The sequence below is a fragment of the Homo sapiens genome, chromosome 6 (assembly GCF_000001405.40).
Source record: "Homo sapiens chromosome 6, GRCh38.p14 Primary Assembly".
In the NCBI taxonomy this organism is placed as follows: Eukaryota; Metazoa; Chordata; class Mammalia; order Primates; family Hominidae; genus Homo; species Homo sapiens.
In genome coordinates this window covers 41,297,004-41,316,262 of record NC_000006.12, presented here as the reverse complement: position 1 = coordinate 41,316,262, position 19,259 = coordinate 41,297,004, and the positions used below count along the sequence as shown (strand labels likewise).

At 39.6% G+C, this 19,259-nt stretch overlaps 2 pseudogenes, besides 2 other annotated features; both read left to right on the top strand.

Annotated features, from left to right (window-relative positions):
- RPL32P15 (ribosomal protein L32 pseudogene 15) lies at positions 7,637-8,140 on the top strand (annotated as a pseudogene).
- Positions 9,154-10,353: an enhancer, noted in NCBI's record as "P300/CBP strongly-dependent group 1 enhancer chr6:41273648-41274847 (GRCh37/hg19 assembly coordinates)". NCBI's record gives its function as "activates an origin of replication core promoter dependent on BRD2, BRD4, P300/CBP, MED14 and CDK7 cofactors, with strong dependence on P300/CBP, by STARR-seq in HCT116 cells {active_cell/tissue: HCT116}" and the evidence as "EXISTENCE:reporter gene assay evidence [ECO:0000049][PMID:35650434]".
- Positions 10,821-11,378: an enhancer, noted in NCBI's record as "NANOG hESC enhancer chr6:41272623-41273180 (GRCh37/hg19 assembly coordinates)". NCBI's record gives its function as "activates a minimal SCP1, AML or CMV promoter by ChIP-STARR-seq in naive H9 embryonic stem cells {active_cell/tissue: H9 hESC(naive)}" and the evidence as "EXISTENCE:reporter gene assay evidence [ECO:0000049][PMID:30033119]".
- On the top strand, positions 13,691-13,797 carry RNU6-643P (RNA, U6 small nuclear 643, pseudogene; annotated as a pseudogene).

The following is a 19,259-nucleotide window of genomic DNA, read 5'->3' as shown; positions in this document are numbered from 1 at the left end:
CCTAATGTTAACCTTTTTTTTTTCTTTTGTTTTTATAGAATGCTACCTTGAATTCCCTTCAAGCAATACTATCTGAAATAAACAATTTAACCTCAATAGTACTCCAAAATAGAAGTCCTTGATACCTTAGCAACTTAACAAGGAGGCTCTTATTTGTAAAAAAAAATATTGTTTCTATATTAATAAATTAGAAATTGTTGAGCCCAATTTAAAGGATCTTAAGGAACAAATATGTCTTTTATCAGACAGGTGTTGCCTCCTCCACTGATTTATTTTATTGGTGAAATATTGGCTCCTGGGAATCTGTGCTCCAGGGAATTTAAAAATCCTTGGCTATTATTCTCTCTGTAGTCATTTTGTTTACCATCCTACTATATCTTATCCTCTCAAGGATTTCAAAGCTTTCCAGAAGGCACTCACACATCAAATGATTGCCATCATCATTAATTGACTTGAAGAACTCAACAACCCTACCACTGAAGCCCATGATGCAGGTAATGATGCCATGTAATCTTATATCCCAATACAACTGTTGAGGATAAGATTACATGACTCTTTGTTCCAGTGACTATTTCACTAGTGGTAACTGAGAGGAATGCTACCACCTTCTTCTTAGCTTGCTGAGAGGGTGACCCAACGCGGTGGGATTGTTAAAGTAAATTAAAATGGAGACCAGACCTGAAGAATCCCAGAGGGGACAAAAGAAGTTATGATTTGTAAGTGACCTAAACCTTGCTTGATTTGCAAACATAACCAAACTTAACTTGAGCTATTTCTTGTGAATGCCTATATATATCTATATCTATATATATATTTTTAAAAGCAGAACTTAAGCTCAACCAATCAGAAGTTACTATTTATACAAACTTAGATAACGAGGGGCTTTCCAAGTTGAGAGACCAAAAAAAGCAATTGTATAACAGTAACCAATTAAATACTTTGCTTTACTTCTGTGTCTGTCTTATAAAAGTCTCCTCTTTGTGTTCCTCAGTGGAGCTCCCAAACTATTTCTGGTTCGGAGCTGCTCAGTTCATAAATTGTTCATGCTAAAAAAAACTCACCAAAACTCTTTAAAATTTTACTGTGCCTCAGTTTATCTTTTTAACAGTTCAAAAAAGATTAAAATAAATGATAATTATATTCTGTCCTGGAGAAGTAGGGAAAAAGTCATTCTTATGCATTGTTGGAAGGGAATAATTGATAGCCTTTTCTTGGAGAGCAGTGGTGTAATGAATTAAAAGTCAGAACAAGAAAAAACAAACAAACAAAAGCACATGTTTTGGAACCAGCATTTCTAAGTTTTGTTTTTTTTTTTCTCAGCAAGTATTTTGTTGAGCATCTTCCTAAAAAGTCATGCCTGCAGCCTTTTTTTGCCCTGTATGGATGCACTGCCTCCACCAGTTGGTACACAGCTGTCTCTTCCTCATGTTTCTGGGGCTTCTCTTTGTCTCCTCTACAACGTTTTCTTGATTCTTGGATCTTTGTTTACTCCTTTGTACTGGTGGAACCCATCCTTGAGTAACTACGGGAGAAAGGGGGAATGGAAAATACATTTTGACAACTTTTATATTTAAAAATGCCTGTTTTACCATGACAGTTTGACTGATATAAAAAATTCTGAGTTGGAAACAATTTGTCCTCAGGATTTTGAAGGCATTGCTATGTTACCTTCTTGCTCCTATTGTTGTTGAAAAGTCAGGAGCAATTATGATAACTATGGCAATATGTGATCTGTTGTCTTCACTTTATCAGCGTTTTCTTTTTGTTCTCGGTGTCCTGGAATGTCACAGGGATGAGCCTTGGAGTGTGTCTATTTCCATCCCTTTGCTCCGCACAGTGAGTGGCCTTTTCGATCTAGAAATTCACAGGAAAATTTCTTGAATTAGTTCATGCATGATTTTCCCCTCTCTGTTTTCTATGTTCTGTCTTTCTAGAACTCCTTTTATTCAAGCATTCACCTCCTGGATCAGTTGTCTTTTTCTTTTTTTTTCTCTCCCATTTCTCTGTTGTTCTCATTCTCTCTCTGCCTCCCTCTGTTTTGGAAACAGCCCTTGGAGAAAAAGTTTTCTGTTTTTATTTATGGTTCCTTAGGTGGTCTCTGTTTCTTCCCAGTTGCCTTCACTATTCTCTGTTTAGTTTCTTTCTTCTCTTTCACTTGAGAGCTTTTTCTCAGGCCTGGGTAACAAAATTCTAAAGATAATTGGATGCTGTGAGCCCACAGTGGGGCTGGTGCCCTGGGAGTTTCACAGGAGGGTGACTCCTTGGCCATTTGCTTGAGGAAGTGCCTTGTCAATATCATTCAGCCTTCTCTCTTGGGCTGCTCAGGATCCCCAGGGAAGACTCACCCCATCTCTTGTCTGGAGGAAGAAGATCTGGCTGCCAACTTTCTGGAATCCAAATAGGAGAAGAGGGCTGGAGTGTTTCTCAGCTTCTGGTACATGTTCTTCACATAATCCCATGGTTTTCAGGACATTGTCACCATCCTCACCTATACCTATTGCCCACCCCTTCCCTACCACACACAGAAACCCAGCCTTCTTTGCAACCTCTCTAAGGCATTCATTCCCAGTTGTCTGCCAAGGTGGGTCAAGGTCGCTCATCTACAGAAAGTGGCAAGGGGATCTGGGTTCCTCATTGCTTCTTAAACAACTTTCTACCATTTCTTCTTAATCGGACTCCCCTAAACCACCTCCACTTTCTCAGCCATCTTGGCAATACTGTTGTGTAAATAAGACTTGACTTCTGCCTTCCTCAACTCTGATGAAAGGTTCTGTTTTCTCACTTCTAAGTCATTTCCCACTTACTTATATATTTTTTTCAGCTCCCCAAATTTTCTTGCTATTTTACCTTCTAGTTTCCCTCGTTCCTATGTTTCCTGCATTTCTTTATGTTCATTTTTGTGGGTTTTAGGAGCGAACAGAAATAAAGGTGTATGTTCCATCTGCCATCTTTCCCTGAGAATCTGAACGATGATCTTAGATTACAGAATCTATGATCATAAATAAAAATGGGCTGATAACCCATTATTCTTATTTGGTCCTTGTGTGGTTTTGGTATTAATATTGTTCTAGCCACAGAAATTATATGAGCAGCTTCTCCCCTCTTTTCTATTTCCTGGAATAAATTGTATGAATTAAGAAATATCTATACCTTGAAAATTCTTCTGTGCCTGAAGTTGCCCTCCCCTCACCTCTCTAGCAGCTGAGATGGTTATATGACTGGATGTTGATTTTTGAATTGTTGTTGCTCTAGTCAAGCTTTTAATCTCAACACCAATTTTAATATTTTATATCTTCCAGAAATGTATCCATTTTATTTAAGTTATTCAATTTATTAGTGTATGATTATTCATAGTATTGTTATTGTGAAAGTCTCTTTTGGGTGTTCAGGTATTTCTCATTTGTTCTCTTTTCTTTTCTTTTTTTCTTTTGAGACAGAGTCTCACTCTGTTGCCTAGGCTGGAGTGCAGTGGCGCAATCTTGGCTCACTGTAACCTCCCCTGTCTCTTGGGTTCAAGCAATTCTCCCACCTCAGCCTCCTGAGTAGCTGGGATTGCAGGCGTGCATCACCAGGCCTGGCTGATTTTTTGTGTTTTTAGTAGCGACAGGGTTTCACCATGTTGGCCAGGCTGGTCTCAAATTCCTGACCTCAAGTGATCCACCCACCTCGGCCTCCCAAAGTGCTGGGATTACAGGCGTGAGCCAATGTGCCTGGCCTGTTCTCTTTATTTTCTCTTTGCACTTTTAAACTTGTCTCTTGATTAGTCTTTCTACAGATTTGTATATCTTGTTCTTTTTTTTTTTTTCAAGGGCAGTATTTTATTTTGTTTCTTCTTCACTCCCTCTTCTCTCTTTCACACATATATTTCTCTATTTATTTGATTTCTGCCTATCTTAACTAAGATAATCTTAGCTCCTTTAACAGTATAGTTCCAAATCTCAGAGAGTAAAAGTTGATTTCTTACTCGTCTAATGGATGGTGACTCCGCAGGACCATTCAGGGGCCCAGGCTTTCTGTCCTGTGGCTCTGCTGACCTCCAGGTCTTCAGAGTTCTTTGCCTCCAGGAGTGGATGAGAAAAGAGAAAGTATGGCACATGGGTGTGTTTATAGGCCAGGTCTGGAACAGTGCCCATCACTTCTGCCCTCACTGCATGGGCTAAGATGGGTCTACCTGAGCATCTAGGAAGAGAAGAAAATAGGTATTTGTGAGCACCTTGTAGCTCTGCCTCTCTGCCTTCATTTCTGTCTTTTCTGCTGCTTGGCTGCAAAGCTGCACATGTGCTGGGCAGGACTCAGGGAGGCTGAGTAGGAGGAGCTACAGGCAGGTGCTGCCCATGTCAACAAGGTGAGTTGAGCAACAATGCACCTGAGAGACCCTAGCACCTACACTAACCTTCAGAACATCGCACCTGCCACTTCACCTCTGCCTTCCAAATCTCATGAAAGTTTCTCTTGCAAACCCAACACAGAGCCATAGAGGTAAGTGGATCCTCAGAAATGCAGTTCCAGCTTATCTGAGTTGCTGTAGCACAAACCCTGTGCACCTTCTCTCTCTCCACCACCCTTTCCCTCTGTAGCAGTTGTCCCCATGTGACGTATGGCTCACTTTTTTGTCTCCATCCTTCCATGAGAATGGAAGCTCTATGAGGACAGGGTCTTCGTTTACCTTGTATTCCCATATCCCCAGTCCTAGAACAGTGCTTGATGTATAGCAGTAGGTAATAAGTATTTCCTAAATTGGAATTAGTTGAGTATTTATTTAGTGTGTACCAGGCTCTGCTGTAAGTGCTTTGAAAGGGTTAGTTCATTTAATCTTCAAAACACCCAATGAGGGAGCCACTAAACACTTAGAACTGAGAAATGGAGACTTAGAGAAGCTTTGTAAATCACTCAACTCAGGCAGCTCATAAGAGGCCGAGTTGGATTATAAATGCAAGCAAGGGACTCCACAGCAATGGCACTGTGATTTAGGTGTCATGAAAACTACGGTAGAAGTGTAAATGAATCTATATATTTCTTTCCTCATTTTATTCATTTATTTTTAATACAGCCATGTCATACAGAAAATAATATATATTTTTTGAGACAGGGTCTTGCTTTGTTGCCCAGGCTGGAGTGCAGTGGCACAATCACAGTTCACTGCAGCCTTGACTTTCTGGGTTCAGCTGATCCTCCCACCTCAGCCTCCTGAGTAGCTGGGACTACAGGCATGTGTCACCTTGCTTGACTAATTTTTAATTTTTTTTTTTGTAAAGATGGAGTCTCCCTATGTTGCCCAGGCTGGCCTCAAATTCCTGAGCTCAAGTGATCCTCCTGCCTCGGCCTCCCAAAGTGCTGGGATACAGGTATGACTCACTGTACCTGGCCCAGAAAATAATTTTTTTAACCCCAAAAAAGGCTAGACCACTCAACAAGGGTTAATGAAGTCTGATAACTTGCATATGTTATACTAAAAGTTGGATAAGTACTTAGTGTAAGTAGAAAAATAAGTAAAAACTAGTTCAAAATGTATTTGTGGGCACTCCTTAAAATTATATCCAATAGAAAAAGATACCTAAGGGATTGAAAAAATCTTTAGAAGAGCTATACCCGTAGTATTTTGTATGAAACCATTCCACTTGGTAAATAGGTTTCCCAGAAACATTTCTCAATAGGCAAACTGATCCTGAAGGGAATGGGAAGTTGACTTTTGCTAAACTACTCTGCTCTGGTGAGCTCTCTAGAGGCTATGTGACTCCCAGGCCAGAATACTGGGGTCTGCTGCTTCCCCCCACCACTCCTGGGACTGGAGGTACCTGAGAAAAGGAGAGCCCAAGGGTCTTGGAAATTGGCTTGGAGAGCTCATATTCTATCCCGTGAGGGTGGCTTGACCTTATGGGACACTCACCAAGGTGGAGCTGAGCCTAGAGGATGGCTGTGACCTTCTCAAGGGTCCATCTTCCCAGTGACCAGAGAGCATGGCCTGCCAGAGGCACTGCCTGCAGGCCCTGGAGACCACTGACAGATCCTTTATTGGCTTCCCTGGTCCGTTGTTGTCAAGAACCCTGGAGGTTACCATCCTGCTGCCCTAGGACCACCAGCGTGTTCTTGGGGAGCTCACAAACATCCCTCTCTCGTTGAAAATGGATTTTTCCTTCTGTTTTACAGAGGACCCCACAAACTCAGCTCACTCACTGTGGACTTTAATCAATGTTATGTTTGGAGCATTGGGGGTAAGAATACTCAGACACACTCACATATACACATGCATGCTAACCCACATACACGCACACACATAGGTACACAAATGCACATGCATACCTGTGAGCTATACGTGAAGGCACATTCCTGCACACACACACATAAACTCAGCTTCATTTAGGAACATATAATACTGCTATGTCCTTTGGTTTTCTCATGTCATATTCTCTTCCATTTCCATTTCTACATGTAGGGTTAAATCACACAACAGAACAAACACGTGTGGCTGACTTTTGCATGTTTGAGGCTGCAAGGCTGGAATGGATAGAGCATTCTTCAAAATCTTGACAGTTTTTTACTCTTTTGTAGGTCCCATGCTATTTTCTTAGAAAAGCATAAGAAGTGATAAGGTTGAGTGGTGGGTGGGTCAGTCCGTGGAGAAAGAATGCCATGCTGAGATAGAAACTTATTTTGGAGTCAGTGAGGTGTTATGGTAACTTGATTAAAGTTAAATGCATGTAAAAAACAATAGGATTTCCAGCTCCCAGTCTGGCAAGTAAGGAGCTTGAAAATTGTCACTCCATCCTAACAAGTAAAAGTTGATCAAGCTGAAAAATCAATAACTCTAGAGCCCCCCAAGCCTGCCCCTTCCCATCAAGCCTGCAATTTTCCTCTGACTCTGTTCCTGCTTCCTGATCTTCCTCTTTCCTGCTCTGTCTCTGTTCCTTTCTTTCAGCCCAGGGGTCCATGAACAAGGACAATAAGAGGAAATCCGTCTTCCTATGACCAGTGATCAATACTCTGGTCACTCTCTCCTGTGTCCTCAGGGTGCCTGGTGACAGTCCAGAGATCTCTCTGAGAAGACCAATCACAACAATGGCTCAGAGTATTCCTAACCCTTAACTCAGAATGGACTTGGTGGTGGGGGCTCTGGAAAGCCCTGGGCAGTCAGTCCTCAGTCCCGGGAGCAGTAGAAGCTCCTGAAATCAAATGGTCTCTGAGCATGACTTGCTTGGGCAGCTGTGAAATATGGAGCAAAACAATTAGGAGCATATAGAGGGGAATTCTTAGTGCACACTTTGGAATGATAGAAGTAACTGATGGTGACTGAAGCAGTGTCTCCAAGCCTGGGAAGACTAGTAGACAACTGCTTTGATATTCTTTCAGATGTCCTACAGTCTAAAGGAAAAAGAGAGAAGAGGCCCTGGTCCCACTCCCACCACCACTGGATGTAAATTTAAGCCTTGGTCATTCTAGACTTGAGGCATGGCTTCCAGACACGTGGATTCTTCAGATGAATAGCATTTCATGAAACATGTCACATTGCTGACATAGGCCAAATTTTTATTTTACCAGAAAAAAATTACTTTCATCTTCTAGGACCACTGTTTTTCCTAAAAGAAAAGACGTATTTAAATTGTGAACATTGCCTTGGTGGTAGAAGAACCACATCTTGCCCCTCTCTCTTCCTCGGTGCTGCCTATGGAGGTGGCAGCCATCTCTTCCTCGGCATCACGGCTGCCCTCAGGCCCCTTGTGAAGCCCAAGATCATCAAAAAGCGAACCAAGAAGTTCATATGGCACCAGTCTGACCCATACGTCAAATTAAGCCTAACTGGCGGAAACCCGGAGGTACTGACAACAGGGTTCGTAGAAGGTTCAAGGGCCAGATCTTGATGCCCAACGTTGGTTATGGGGCAACAAAAAAACAAAGCACATGCTGCCAAGTGGCTTCTGGAATTTCCTGGTCCACAACGTCAAGGAGCTGGAAGTACTGCTGATGCGCAGCAAATCTTACTGTGCTGAGATCGCTCACAATGTTTCCTCCAAGGACCACAAAGCCATTGTGGAAAGAGCTGCTCAGCTGGCCATCAGAGTCACCAACCCCAATGCCAAGCTGTGCAGCGAAGACAATGAGTACACAGTTCATGTTTTGTGTTTAAATAAAACTGGAAAAGCTGGAAAAAAAAAAAAAAAGAACCACATCTTGAGCTGGAGGAAACCTGAGGCCCTGAGAACTTCATGGAGCATGGACCCCATTCGTTCTTAGACAACACACCTCTGGATTTTTACTTGAAGCAGTTTTAAGCCCTGTTATTTGGAGTTTTTCTGTTCTTTATAGATGAACCTAACCCTAATACAACTCTCACTATTCAGAGTTTTGTCAGGTACACAATTTTAGTTTAACAGTGATTTTTCCTAAGCATTTTGGTGATATGATTTCACCACCTTCTGGCTTGTGTTGTTTCAGTTGACAAGTCTGCTATTTAAATTTCTTCATAAATGATTGGCTGCTTCCTCTTTGCTTTGTATTCTACAATTTCTCTACAATATGCCACGATGAGGATTTTTGTTTTTTGCTTATATTGCTTGGTTTATGATGATCTGTATTTGTGGTTTAATGACTTTTCAAACCTCCGGAAAATTCTCAGCCACTACATCATCACATACGGCCTCTGAAGTTCAGTTTATGTACCAGATGTAGGAAGCTCAAATGAGTGCAGCTCCCATTCGCACAAGAAGACAAAGCCAGGTAAACTGCAAAGCCATAACTTTTCCTGACCCTATTAGAGAGCTGCAGTTGCAAGGCACCCAAATCATCTAGAATCCAAGGCCACTCCAAAGAGAGTTGGGATATGAGCACCAGCTCACCTGTCTCACAGAAAGGAGGAAGAGCTATGGAATACCAAACAAGTGTCAAGAACAATTCAGCTAAGACTTTAACAAATTGTTAAAGGTCAGGTGCAGGCCAGCATGACCGTATAGTACTTCTGGGATCCCAGGACACAAAAGGAATGATCACAGTCACTTTTAATCTCTTTCCCGGGGACCTCCACCAGGTGCTTATGAGAAAGACTGAAGGTGGATTGAGCAATGAGAGATGGTCCCTCAGTGGTGAAAACATGGAGAAAGAGAGTGGAAAAATAGACTCTTATCCTCTATTAAACAAAAGCATCAAACCACTAAGGTAGGGATAACAAGCCCTGTCACCCCCAGAGAGGAGGTGAAGACCCATTGAAGCTAAGGATGTGGTGAGGAGAAAACTTTCTTGCTGCTGGAAAGCAAATGTGATGACTGGAGCTCCAGCAGTCATTTTGGAAGTCATGAACTGAGACGGTGGGACAGACAGAAGGAGCCAAAGTCCCTGATGCTTCAATGCCAGCCCTGAGGAGCCTATCACTGAACTTTTAAGTGAGAGGTAACAAACTACTCTTTTGCTTAAACCACTTTTACTGCAGTTTTCTGTTATACCAGCCTGCTAATTCTAACGGAATCAGAACAAGTCCTATGACCCATTTACAGAGGAATCTCACATCCTTGGGGCTTCCCTAGATCATAAACCCTGTATGTCCACCAAGATTCGGGTAGGCAGGAAGGCAACCTTGGGTTTCTGTGGGAAGAGCTCTTTGCAAACTCCAGCTGCTATTTAAGAAAGAAAAAAAGGAAATTATTTTAGGCACAAATTATTTTAGTGTGGAAGGTATTCCAAGGATAAAATTTTTGAATATTGAGATCTGAGCATAAGGTGTCTAAAAACTACTGTCCCCGCAGATCTCCTCCCAGGTAATCAGGCCTTAGGAAATTACAGGAGCGAAATCAGAGATAAACCAGGTGAGTTGCTCCCTCTGGTGGTGACTTTGGATTTATAAACGGTTGCGACCTGAGCGTTTTGCTGGTTGGTTTTGTTTTAGGACAAAAAAAAAAAAAAAAAAAAATCTGACTTTGGAAATTTTAAAACTAATTTTTTGTTTACCTTTGTCTTTAAAAAGTAACCTTGTGTAGGCCGGGCGTGGTGACTCACACCTGTAATCCCAGCACTTTGGAATGCCGAGGTGGGCGGAATGCTTGAGGTCAGGAGTTCAAGACCAGCCTGGCCAACGTGGTGAAACCCCGTCTCTACTAAAAACACACAAAAAATTAGCCGGGTGTGGTGGGGAGCGCCTGTAATCCCAGCTACTCACAGGAGGCTGAGGCACGAGAATCGCTTGAGCCAAAAAGGCGGAGGTTGCAGCGAGCCGAGACCTTGCCACCTCACTCCAGCCTGGGTGACGGAGTGAGACTCTGTCTCGAAAAAAAAAAGCAACTTTGCTTTCTTTTTTTTTTTTTTTTGTAATAGTGCACTTACTGTTGAATGAATGGCATTTTCCCCCTACAAAACTTAAATGGCTAAGGGTTTATGATAGAATTCTTTCATAATTTAAAAGTACCATGATTGAACTGATTATTGTGTAAGTAGCTGATGTCTGTATAATTGGGTCTTGTTGGCTGGGTGTGGTGGCTCAGGCCTGTAATCAGCACTTTGGGAGGCCGAGGTGGGCGGATCACATGAGGTCAGGAGTTGGAGAACATCCTGGCCAACATGGCGAAACCCCGTCTCTACTAAAAATACAAAAATTAGCTGGGCGTGGTGGTACATGGCTGTAATCCCAGCTATACTGGCTGTAATCTTGTCTATACTCTCCCTTTCATTTATCACATGGAATTCTCTCTAAAGTTATTAGGTACCCTCCCTAATCTCTCCCTGAGGCTAGAACAGAATTTTTTTTTTTCAGTTTACTGGTATGTTGTTAGGTAATACTAACAGGGAGAATACTCTGGATAAATACAATGTAAAATAAATGCCAAGATATTTGGGCTAAGAATGAAAAAGAATATGCATAGTTCTCATATCATTCCTGTGAGTTTCATACCTATGAATTTATTCATACCTATGAAACAAATCTATTGTGGGCATTATCTTATCAAACATTTGAACAAGATTTAATTATTGTACTTGTTAGACGGGGCTAGATTGTGCTGCAAGAATAACCTTCCCCCTCACTCTTCACCCTATCTCAATGGCTAGGCCAACGAAAATTTACTTCTCACTTATACCTCAATTCTGATGCAAATGGGCCACTAAAGCTCTGCGCATCAAAGACACTTTGGGATCCCACTGATAGAAACTTCGAAAACCACCATAGAGAGAAAGGAAACACAGGGCATTCTGTGATGTTTCTTAAAGCCTCGCACTAAGCGATATGTATTTCTGCTCAGAATTCACTGGCCAAAGCAAATCCCAAGGCCATACCTACCTGCAAAGGGTGCAAGGCAGTGCAAAGAAATGGGCAGGAATGAGAAGTGGCTGAAGATTTGTGAACAGCCCTAAAGTTACCATATTTTCAACAGAAGTATAATCAAAATATAGGATGGCAAGGTAATATATGATATACTGTTTGAAAATTTTTTAAAATGCTTTTGACAAGCAAGAAAAAAGCTCATGAAAGGGAGAAATCTAACTAATATGCTTTCATATCAAGATACAATAGAAAATGACAGAGTAAAGTTAAAGTTGAATTGGATACAACTGAAAGTGCACTTGAAGATTGTATATGCTATTTTTTGTTTTGTTTGGTTTGGTCTTTGCCATTAACTTGAATACCAATTTGCAGTTGTGTCAAAGTTAATAACCAACAATTTTGAAAGTCCACTTATAAATTTATGTTATATTCCACTTACATTACGAGAATTTCTATTGCTGTGAATAGTGAATGCAAAATGAGTTTGTTCAGTGGCGATTCCTGCTTATTAACATGCATTAAGTCATCACTTCAGGTGGACCTGAAGTGACATGAAAGACCTGAAGTGACATGAAAGGCTTACAAAGTACACTGCTCACTCTTCCCCACTCAGTTCATAATCTGGACTTGCAGAGCCAACTTCACTATCTTTCAGTGGCAAAATGCTACTATGAAGTAAGGACTAGTCACAAAAAACAAGTAAGATTAGTTAGCTAATAGAGCATGAATGCTCCTGAATTAAAAATCAACAAACATGGGCATCAGGAAGAGTTTATATAACCAAAATGAAATTTAAAATTATTATAAGAAGTGAAGTGCTGGAGCCAGCTTGCACTGGCTCACAAAAATTGTTTGCAAGCCTCTCTTTCCAACTCCACATCCAGTGATGCCATGTTGCTAGCTTGAAATCAACCATGTGAGAGTATTTACACCACAGAAATTGGCAGTCACTACAAATCAGGAAATCTTTTAAAGAGCTGGTTATTAAACATTTACCTTAAACATTCATTGAATAGGAATGACTCAAGAACGATGGTTATTGGTCACTTGTATACTTCTTTGGGAAACCCATTTTCAAATGAGGTTATTTGTCTTTTTATTGTTGGTTTGTTAGAGTTTTTTCATATTTTGGATACCAGACCTTTATCAGATATACGACTTATAAATATTTTCTTTTATTCTCTGCGTTGTCCTTTTACTCTCATGATGGTAAAATTTTGCAGCACAAAAGTTTTTAATTTTGATTAAGTCCAATTTATCTTTTTCTTTCTTTGGTTGCTTTAGGTGTCATATCTAAGAAACTGTTGCTTAATGCAAGGTTACAAAGATTTACTCCTGTATTTTTTGTCCTAGAGTTTTATAGTTTTAGCTTTTACATTTAGATCTTTGATCTACTTTGAGTTAATTTTATATATGTTGTGAAGTAGGTGTCTAAGTTTACTCTTTTGCATGTTCACATGTAGTTGTCCTAAACCAACTGTTGAAAGACTATCCTTTCCCCATTGAATTAACTTGTTACCCCTATCAAAAATTAGTTGACCATAAATGTATAGGTTTATTTCTAGACCATAAATTCTATTCCATTGATTTATATTTTTATATTAATGCCAGTGCATGTTGTCAATCTCTACACTAAGTGAATTTTGATAGGAAATGCATTTACTCTGTAGATCAAGTTAGGGAATATTGCCATTTAAGCAATATTAAGTCTTATAATCCATGAACAAGGAGTGTTTTTCCATTTATTCAGTTATTTAAAAAATTTCTTTTAACAATCTTTTTAAAATTTATAAAGGTAAGAAATTTATTTGGCTGATAGTTTTGGGGGTGAAAAGTCCAAGACTAAGGGGGCACATCTGATCATGGCCTTCTTTCTGAATCATCCCATGGCAGAAAGAGGAAGGATTGAGAGGAACCATCCTATCCAGAGGAAGAGATAACCAAATCCATCTGTATTAGTTCATTGTCACATTGCTATAAAGACATACTGGAGACTGGGTAATTTATGGAAAAAAGAGGTGTAATTGGCTCTGGTTCTGCAGGCTGAACAGGAGGCATGGCTGGGGAGCCCTCCGGAAACTTAAAATCGTAGCAGAAGGGTGAAGAAGAAACAAGCACGTCTTCGCATGGCAACAGGAGACAGAGTGAGTGAAAGGGGAAGTGCCACACACTTTTAAACCATCGTATTTCATGAGAACTCACTCACCAACATGAGAACAGCAAAGGGGAAATCCTCTGCCATGATCCAACCACCTCCCACCAGGTCTCTCCCACAACATTGGGTATTACAATTCAACATGAGATTTGAGTGGGGACACAGAGCCAAACCATATCACCATCCTTTTGTCAGGAACACACTCCTGCAATAACTAATCCAGTTCCCCAATACCAGCATTAATCCATTCATAAGGGAAGATCCCCATGACCTAATAACCTCAACTTAATAGTCCTGTGCATACTTTGGCAGCACATATACTAAAATTGGAATGATACAGAGAGGATTAGCATTGCCCCTTTGCAAAGATGACATGCAAATTCGTGAAGCATTTTATATATGTATTTTTAAACTGTAAGGATTTAATTTTATTACCATATTTCTTTTTTAAAAAGTAACTTTTATTTAGGTTCAGAAATACATGTTCAGGTTTGTTACATAGGTAAATTGCATGCCACAGGAATTTGGTGTACAGATTATTTCATCACCCAGGTAATAAGCACAGTACCCAGGTATCTGTTATTCCCTTCTTTGTGTCCATATGTACTCAATGTTTAGTTCCCACTTAAAAGTGAGAGCATGAGGTATTTGGTTTTCTGTTTTTCCATTAGTTTGTTTAGGATGATGGGCTCCATCTCCATCCATGTTGCTACAAAGGACATCAACTTGTTCTTTTTATGGCTGCATAGTATTCCATGATGTATATACATGACATTTTCTTTATCTAGCCTATCATTGATGGACATTTGCATTGATTCCATGTCTTTGCTATTGTGAATAGTGCTCCAGTGAACATATGTGTGCATGCATCTTTGTGGTAGAGTGATTTATATTTTTAGGGGCATATACCGAATAATGGGATTGCTGAGTTGAATGGTAATTCTATTTTAAGTTCTTTGAGAAATCCCCAAACCATTTCCACGATGGCTGAACTAATTTACATTCCCACCAGCAGTGCATAAGCATTCTCTTTTCTCTGCAACCTCTCCAGCATCTTTTATTTTTTGAGTTTTTAATAATAGCCATTCTGACTAGTGTGAGATGGTGTCTCACTGTGGTTTTGATTTGCATTGCTCTAATGATTAGTAATGTTGAGTGTTTTTTCATATGCCTGTTGGTCATGTGTATGTCTTCTTTTGAAAAGTAATCACTTTCATATCTTTTGCCCACTTTTTTATGGGGCTCTTTGTTTTTTGCTTGTAAATTTGTTTAAATTCCTTATAGATTCTGGATATTGAATCTTTGTCAGGTACGTGGTTTGCACATATTTTCTCACATTCTGTAGGTTGTCTCTTTATTCTGCTGATAGTTTCTTTTGCTGGGCAGAAGCTCTTTAGTTTAATGAGATCCCATTTGTCAACTTTTGTTTTTGTTGCAATTGCTTCTGGCATTTTTGTCATGAAAATGCTGGGTCTTTGCTGGGTCCTATATTGAGAATGATATTTCCAAGGTTATCTTCAGGGTTTTTGTAGTTTTAGGTTTTGCATTTAAGTCTTTAATCCATCTTGAGTTGATTTTTTGTATAGGGTGTAAGGGAGGCAGCTCAGTTTCAGTCTTCTGCATATGGCTAGCCAATTAAGCCGGTATAACTTATTGAATAAATAAATGGTGCAATAAATGATGCTAGGGTAATTGGCTAGCCAAATGGATTTTTCCCATTGCTTGTTTTTGTCGACTTTGTCAAAGATCTGTTGGTTGTAGGTATGTGGCCTTATTTCTGGACTCTGTATTTTCCATTTGTCTATGTGTCTGTTTTTGTACCAACACCATGCTGTTTTGGTTACTGTAGCCTTGTAGTATAGTTCAAAGTTGGGGCGTAATGTGATGCCTCCAGCTTTAATCTTTTTGCTTAGGATTGTCTTGGCTATTCAAGCTTTTGGTTCTATGTGGATTTTAAAATAGTTTTTTCTAATTCTGTGAAAAATGTTATTGGTAGTTTGTTGGGAATAACATTGAATCTGTAAGTTGTTTTGGGTAGTGTGGCCATTTTAACAATATTGATTCTTCCTATTAATAAGCATGGAATGTTTTTCCATTTATTTGTGTCATCTCTGATTTCTTTGAGCAGTGTTTTGTAATTCTTTTGTAGAGATCTTTCACCTCCCAGGATAGCTGTATTCATAGGTATTTCATTCTTTTTGTGGCTATTGTCAATGGGATTATGTCCTTGATTTGGCTCTCAGCTTGGAAATTGTTGGTGTATAGAAATGATACTGATTTTTGCACATTGATTTTTTGTCCTGAAACTTTGCTAAAGTTGTTTATCAGATCAAAGTGCTTTGGGGCAGAGACTATGGGTTTTTCTAGGCATAGAATCATATAATCTGTGAAGAGAAACAGTTTGACTTCCTTTATTCCTGTTTGGATGACTTTTATTTCTTTCTCTTGCCTGATTGTTTTGGCTAGGACTTCCAGTACTATGTTGAATAGAAGTGGTGAGAGAGGGCATCCTTATCTTGTTCTGGTTCTCCAGGGGAATGCTTCAAGCTTTTGCCCATTCAGTATGATGTTAACTGTGGGTTTGTCATAGATGGTCCCTATTATTTTGAGGTATTCCTTCAATGCTGAGTTTGTTGAGGGTTTTTAACATAAAGTGATGCTGAATTTTATCAAAATTCTGCGTCTACTGAGAGGATCATGCGGTTTTTGTTTTTAGTTCTATTTATGTGATAAATCACATTTATTGATTTGCATATATTGAACCAACATTACATCCCAGGTATGAAGCCTACTTGATCATGGTGGATTAGCTTTTTGATGTGCTGCTGGATTTGGTTTACCAGTATGTTGTTGAGGATTTTTGCATCTATGTTTGTCAAGGATGTTGGCCTGAAGTTTCCCTTTATTGTTGTGCCTTTGCCAGCTTTTGGTATCAGGATGATGCTGGCCTCATAGTATGAGTTAGGGAGAAGTCCCTACTCAACATTTTGGAATAGTTTCAGTAGGAATGGTACCAAGTCTTCTTTATATTAATACATCTCTTAGAATTTGTCTGTGAATCCATCTGGTTCTGGGCTTTTTCTGGTTGGTAGGCCTTTTGCTACTGATTCAATTTAGGAACATATTGTTCTGTTCAAGGATTCGATTTCTTCCAGGTTCAATGTTGGGAGGTTGTATGTTTCCAGGAATGTATTAATTTCTTCTACGTCTTCTAGCTTGTGTGCATAGAGGTGTTTATAGTAGTCCCTGAGGGTTTTTTGTATTTCTGTGGGGTTGCTGGTAATGTCCCCTTTTTCATTTCTGATTGTGTTTTTTGGATCTTCTCTTTTTTCTTTATTAATCTAGCTAAGAATGTATATATATATATATATATATATATATATATATATATATATATGATTTATTCTTTCAAATAACCAACTTCTGGATTCATTGGTCTTTTATATCTTTTTTGTGACTCACTTTCCTTCAGTTCAGCTCTGATTTTGGTTACTTCCTGTCTTCTGCTAGCTTTGGGGTTGGTTTACTCGTGTTTCTCTATTTCCTCTAAGTGTGATGTCAGGTTGCTAATTTGAGATCTTTCTAACTTTTTGATGTGGGTGTTTAGTACTATTAGCTTCCCTCTTAACATTGCTTTAGCTATGTCTCAGAGATTCTGGTATGTTGTATCATTGTTCTCATTGATTCAAAGAACTTCTTGATTTCTACCTTAATTTTGTTGCTTATCCAAAAGTTATCTGGGGACAGGTTATTTAATTTCCATGCAAATGTATGGTTTTGAGCAATTTTCTTAGTATTGATTTCTATTTTTTTTGTGCTGTGGTCCAAGAGTGTGGTTGGTGTGATTTTGGTTTCTTTGAATTTGTTGAGGATTGTTTTTTGGTCGATTGTGTGGTTGACTTCAAATATGTGCCATGTACAGGTAGGAAGAATGTACACACTGTTGTTTTGGGGTGGAGAGTTCTGTCAATGTCTATTAGGTTCATTTGGTCAAGTGTCGAGTTCAGTTTCTTTGTAAGTCTCTAAGAATTTGCTTTTTGAATCTGAGTGCTCCTGTGCTGGATGCATATATATTTAGGATAGTTAGGTCTTCTTGTTGAATTGAACTTTTTACCATTATGTAATGTTCTTTGTCTTTTTTGATCTTTGTTGGCTTAAGTTCTGTTTTGTCTGAAATTAGATAGCAACCTCTGCTTTTTCTGTTTTCTGTTTGCTTGGTACCTTTTCTCCATCTTTTTACTTTGAGCTGATAGGTCTCATTGTGTGTGAGATAAGTCTCTTGAAGATAGCATACCATTGAGTGTTGCTTCTTTATCCAATTTGCCACTCTGTGACTTTTAATTGGGATATTTAGCCCTTTTACATTCAAAGTTAATATTGATATGTGTGGATTTGATCTTGTTATCACATTGTTAGCTGGTTATTATGCAGATTTGTTTGTGTGGCTGCTCAATAGTGTCAATGGTCTATGTACTTAAGTGCATTTTTGTAGTGGCCAATGTATTAGGTCATTCTTGCATTGCTATAAAGAAATACCTGAGACTGGATAATTTATAAAGAAAAGAGGTTTAATTGGCTAATGTTTCTGCAGGCTACACAGGAAGCATGGGGCTAACATCTGATTCTGGGGAGGTCTCAGGAAGCTTACAATCATGGCAGAAGGTAAAGGGGGTACAGGGATGTCACATGGTGAAAGCAGAAGCAAGAGAGAATGGTGGGGTGTTATGGGAAGTCGGGGACCCTGAACAGAGGGACCAGCTAGAGCCGAGGCAGAAGAACATAAAATGTGAAGATTTAATGGACATTTATCAGTTCCCAAAATTAATACTTTTATAATTTCTTATGCCTGTCTTTACTGCAATCTCTGAACATAAATTGTGAAGATTTCATGGACATTTATCACTTCCCTAATAATACTCTTATAATTTCTTATGCCTGTCTTTACTTTAATCTCTTAATCCTGTTATCTTTGTAAGCTGAGAATGTACGTCACCTCAGGACCACTATTGTACAAATTGATTGTAGAACATGTGTGTTTGAACAATATGAAATCAGTGCACCCTGAAAAAGAACAGAATAATGGTGATTTTCAGGGAACAAGGGAAGATAACCATAAGGTCTGACTGCCTGTGGGGTTGGGCAGAATAGAGCCATATTTTTCTTCTTGAAGGGAGCCTATAAACAGACATGCGAGTAGGGGAAATATCGCTGAATTCTTTTCCCAGCAAGGAATATTAATAATTGATACCCTGAGGAAGGAATGCATTCTTGGGGGGAGGTCTATAGATGGCCGCTGTGAGAGTGTCTGTCTTATGTGGTTAAGATAAGGACTGAAATACACCCTGGTCTCCTGCAGTACCCTCAGGCTTACTAGGATTGGGAAATTCCAGCCTGGTAAATTCTAGTCAGACTGGTTCTCTGCTCTCAAACCCTGTTTCCTGTTAAGATGTTTATCAAGACAATGCGTGCACAGCGGGACATAGACCCGCATCAGTAATTCTAATTTTGCCTTCGCCTTGTGATCTTTATAGCCCTTTGAACCATGTGATCCTTGTGACCTACTCCCTGTTCATATACCCCCTCCCCTTTTAAAATCCCTAATAAAAACTTGCTGGTTTTGTGGCTTGGGGTCATCATCATGGTCCTAACAATATGTGATGACACCCCTGGAGGCCCAGCTCTAAAATTTCTCTCTTTGCACTCTTTCTCTTTATTTCTCAGACTGGCCAACACTTAGGGAAAATAGAAATGAATCTACGTTGAAATATTGGGGGCTGGTTCCCCTGATACTGGGGGAGGTGCTACACACTTTTAAATGACCAGATCTTGTGTGAACTCAGAGTGAGAGCTCACTTGTCACCAAGT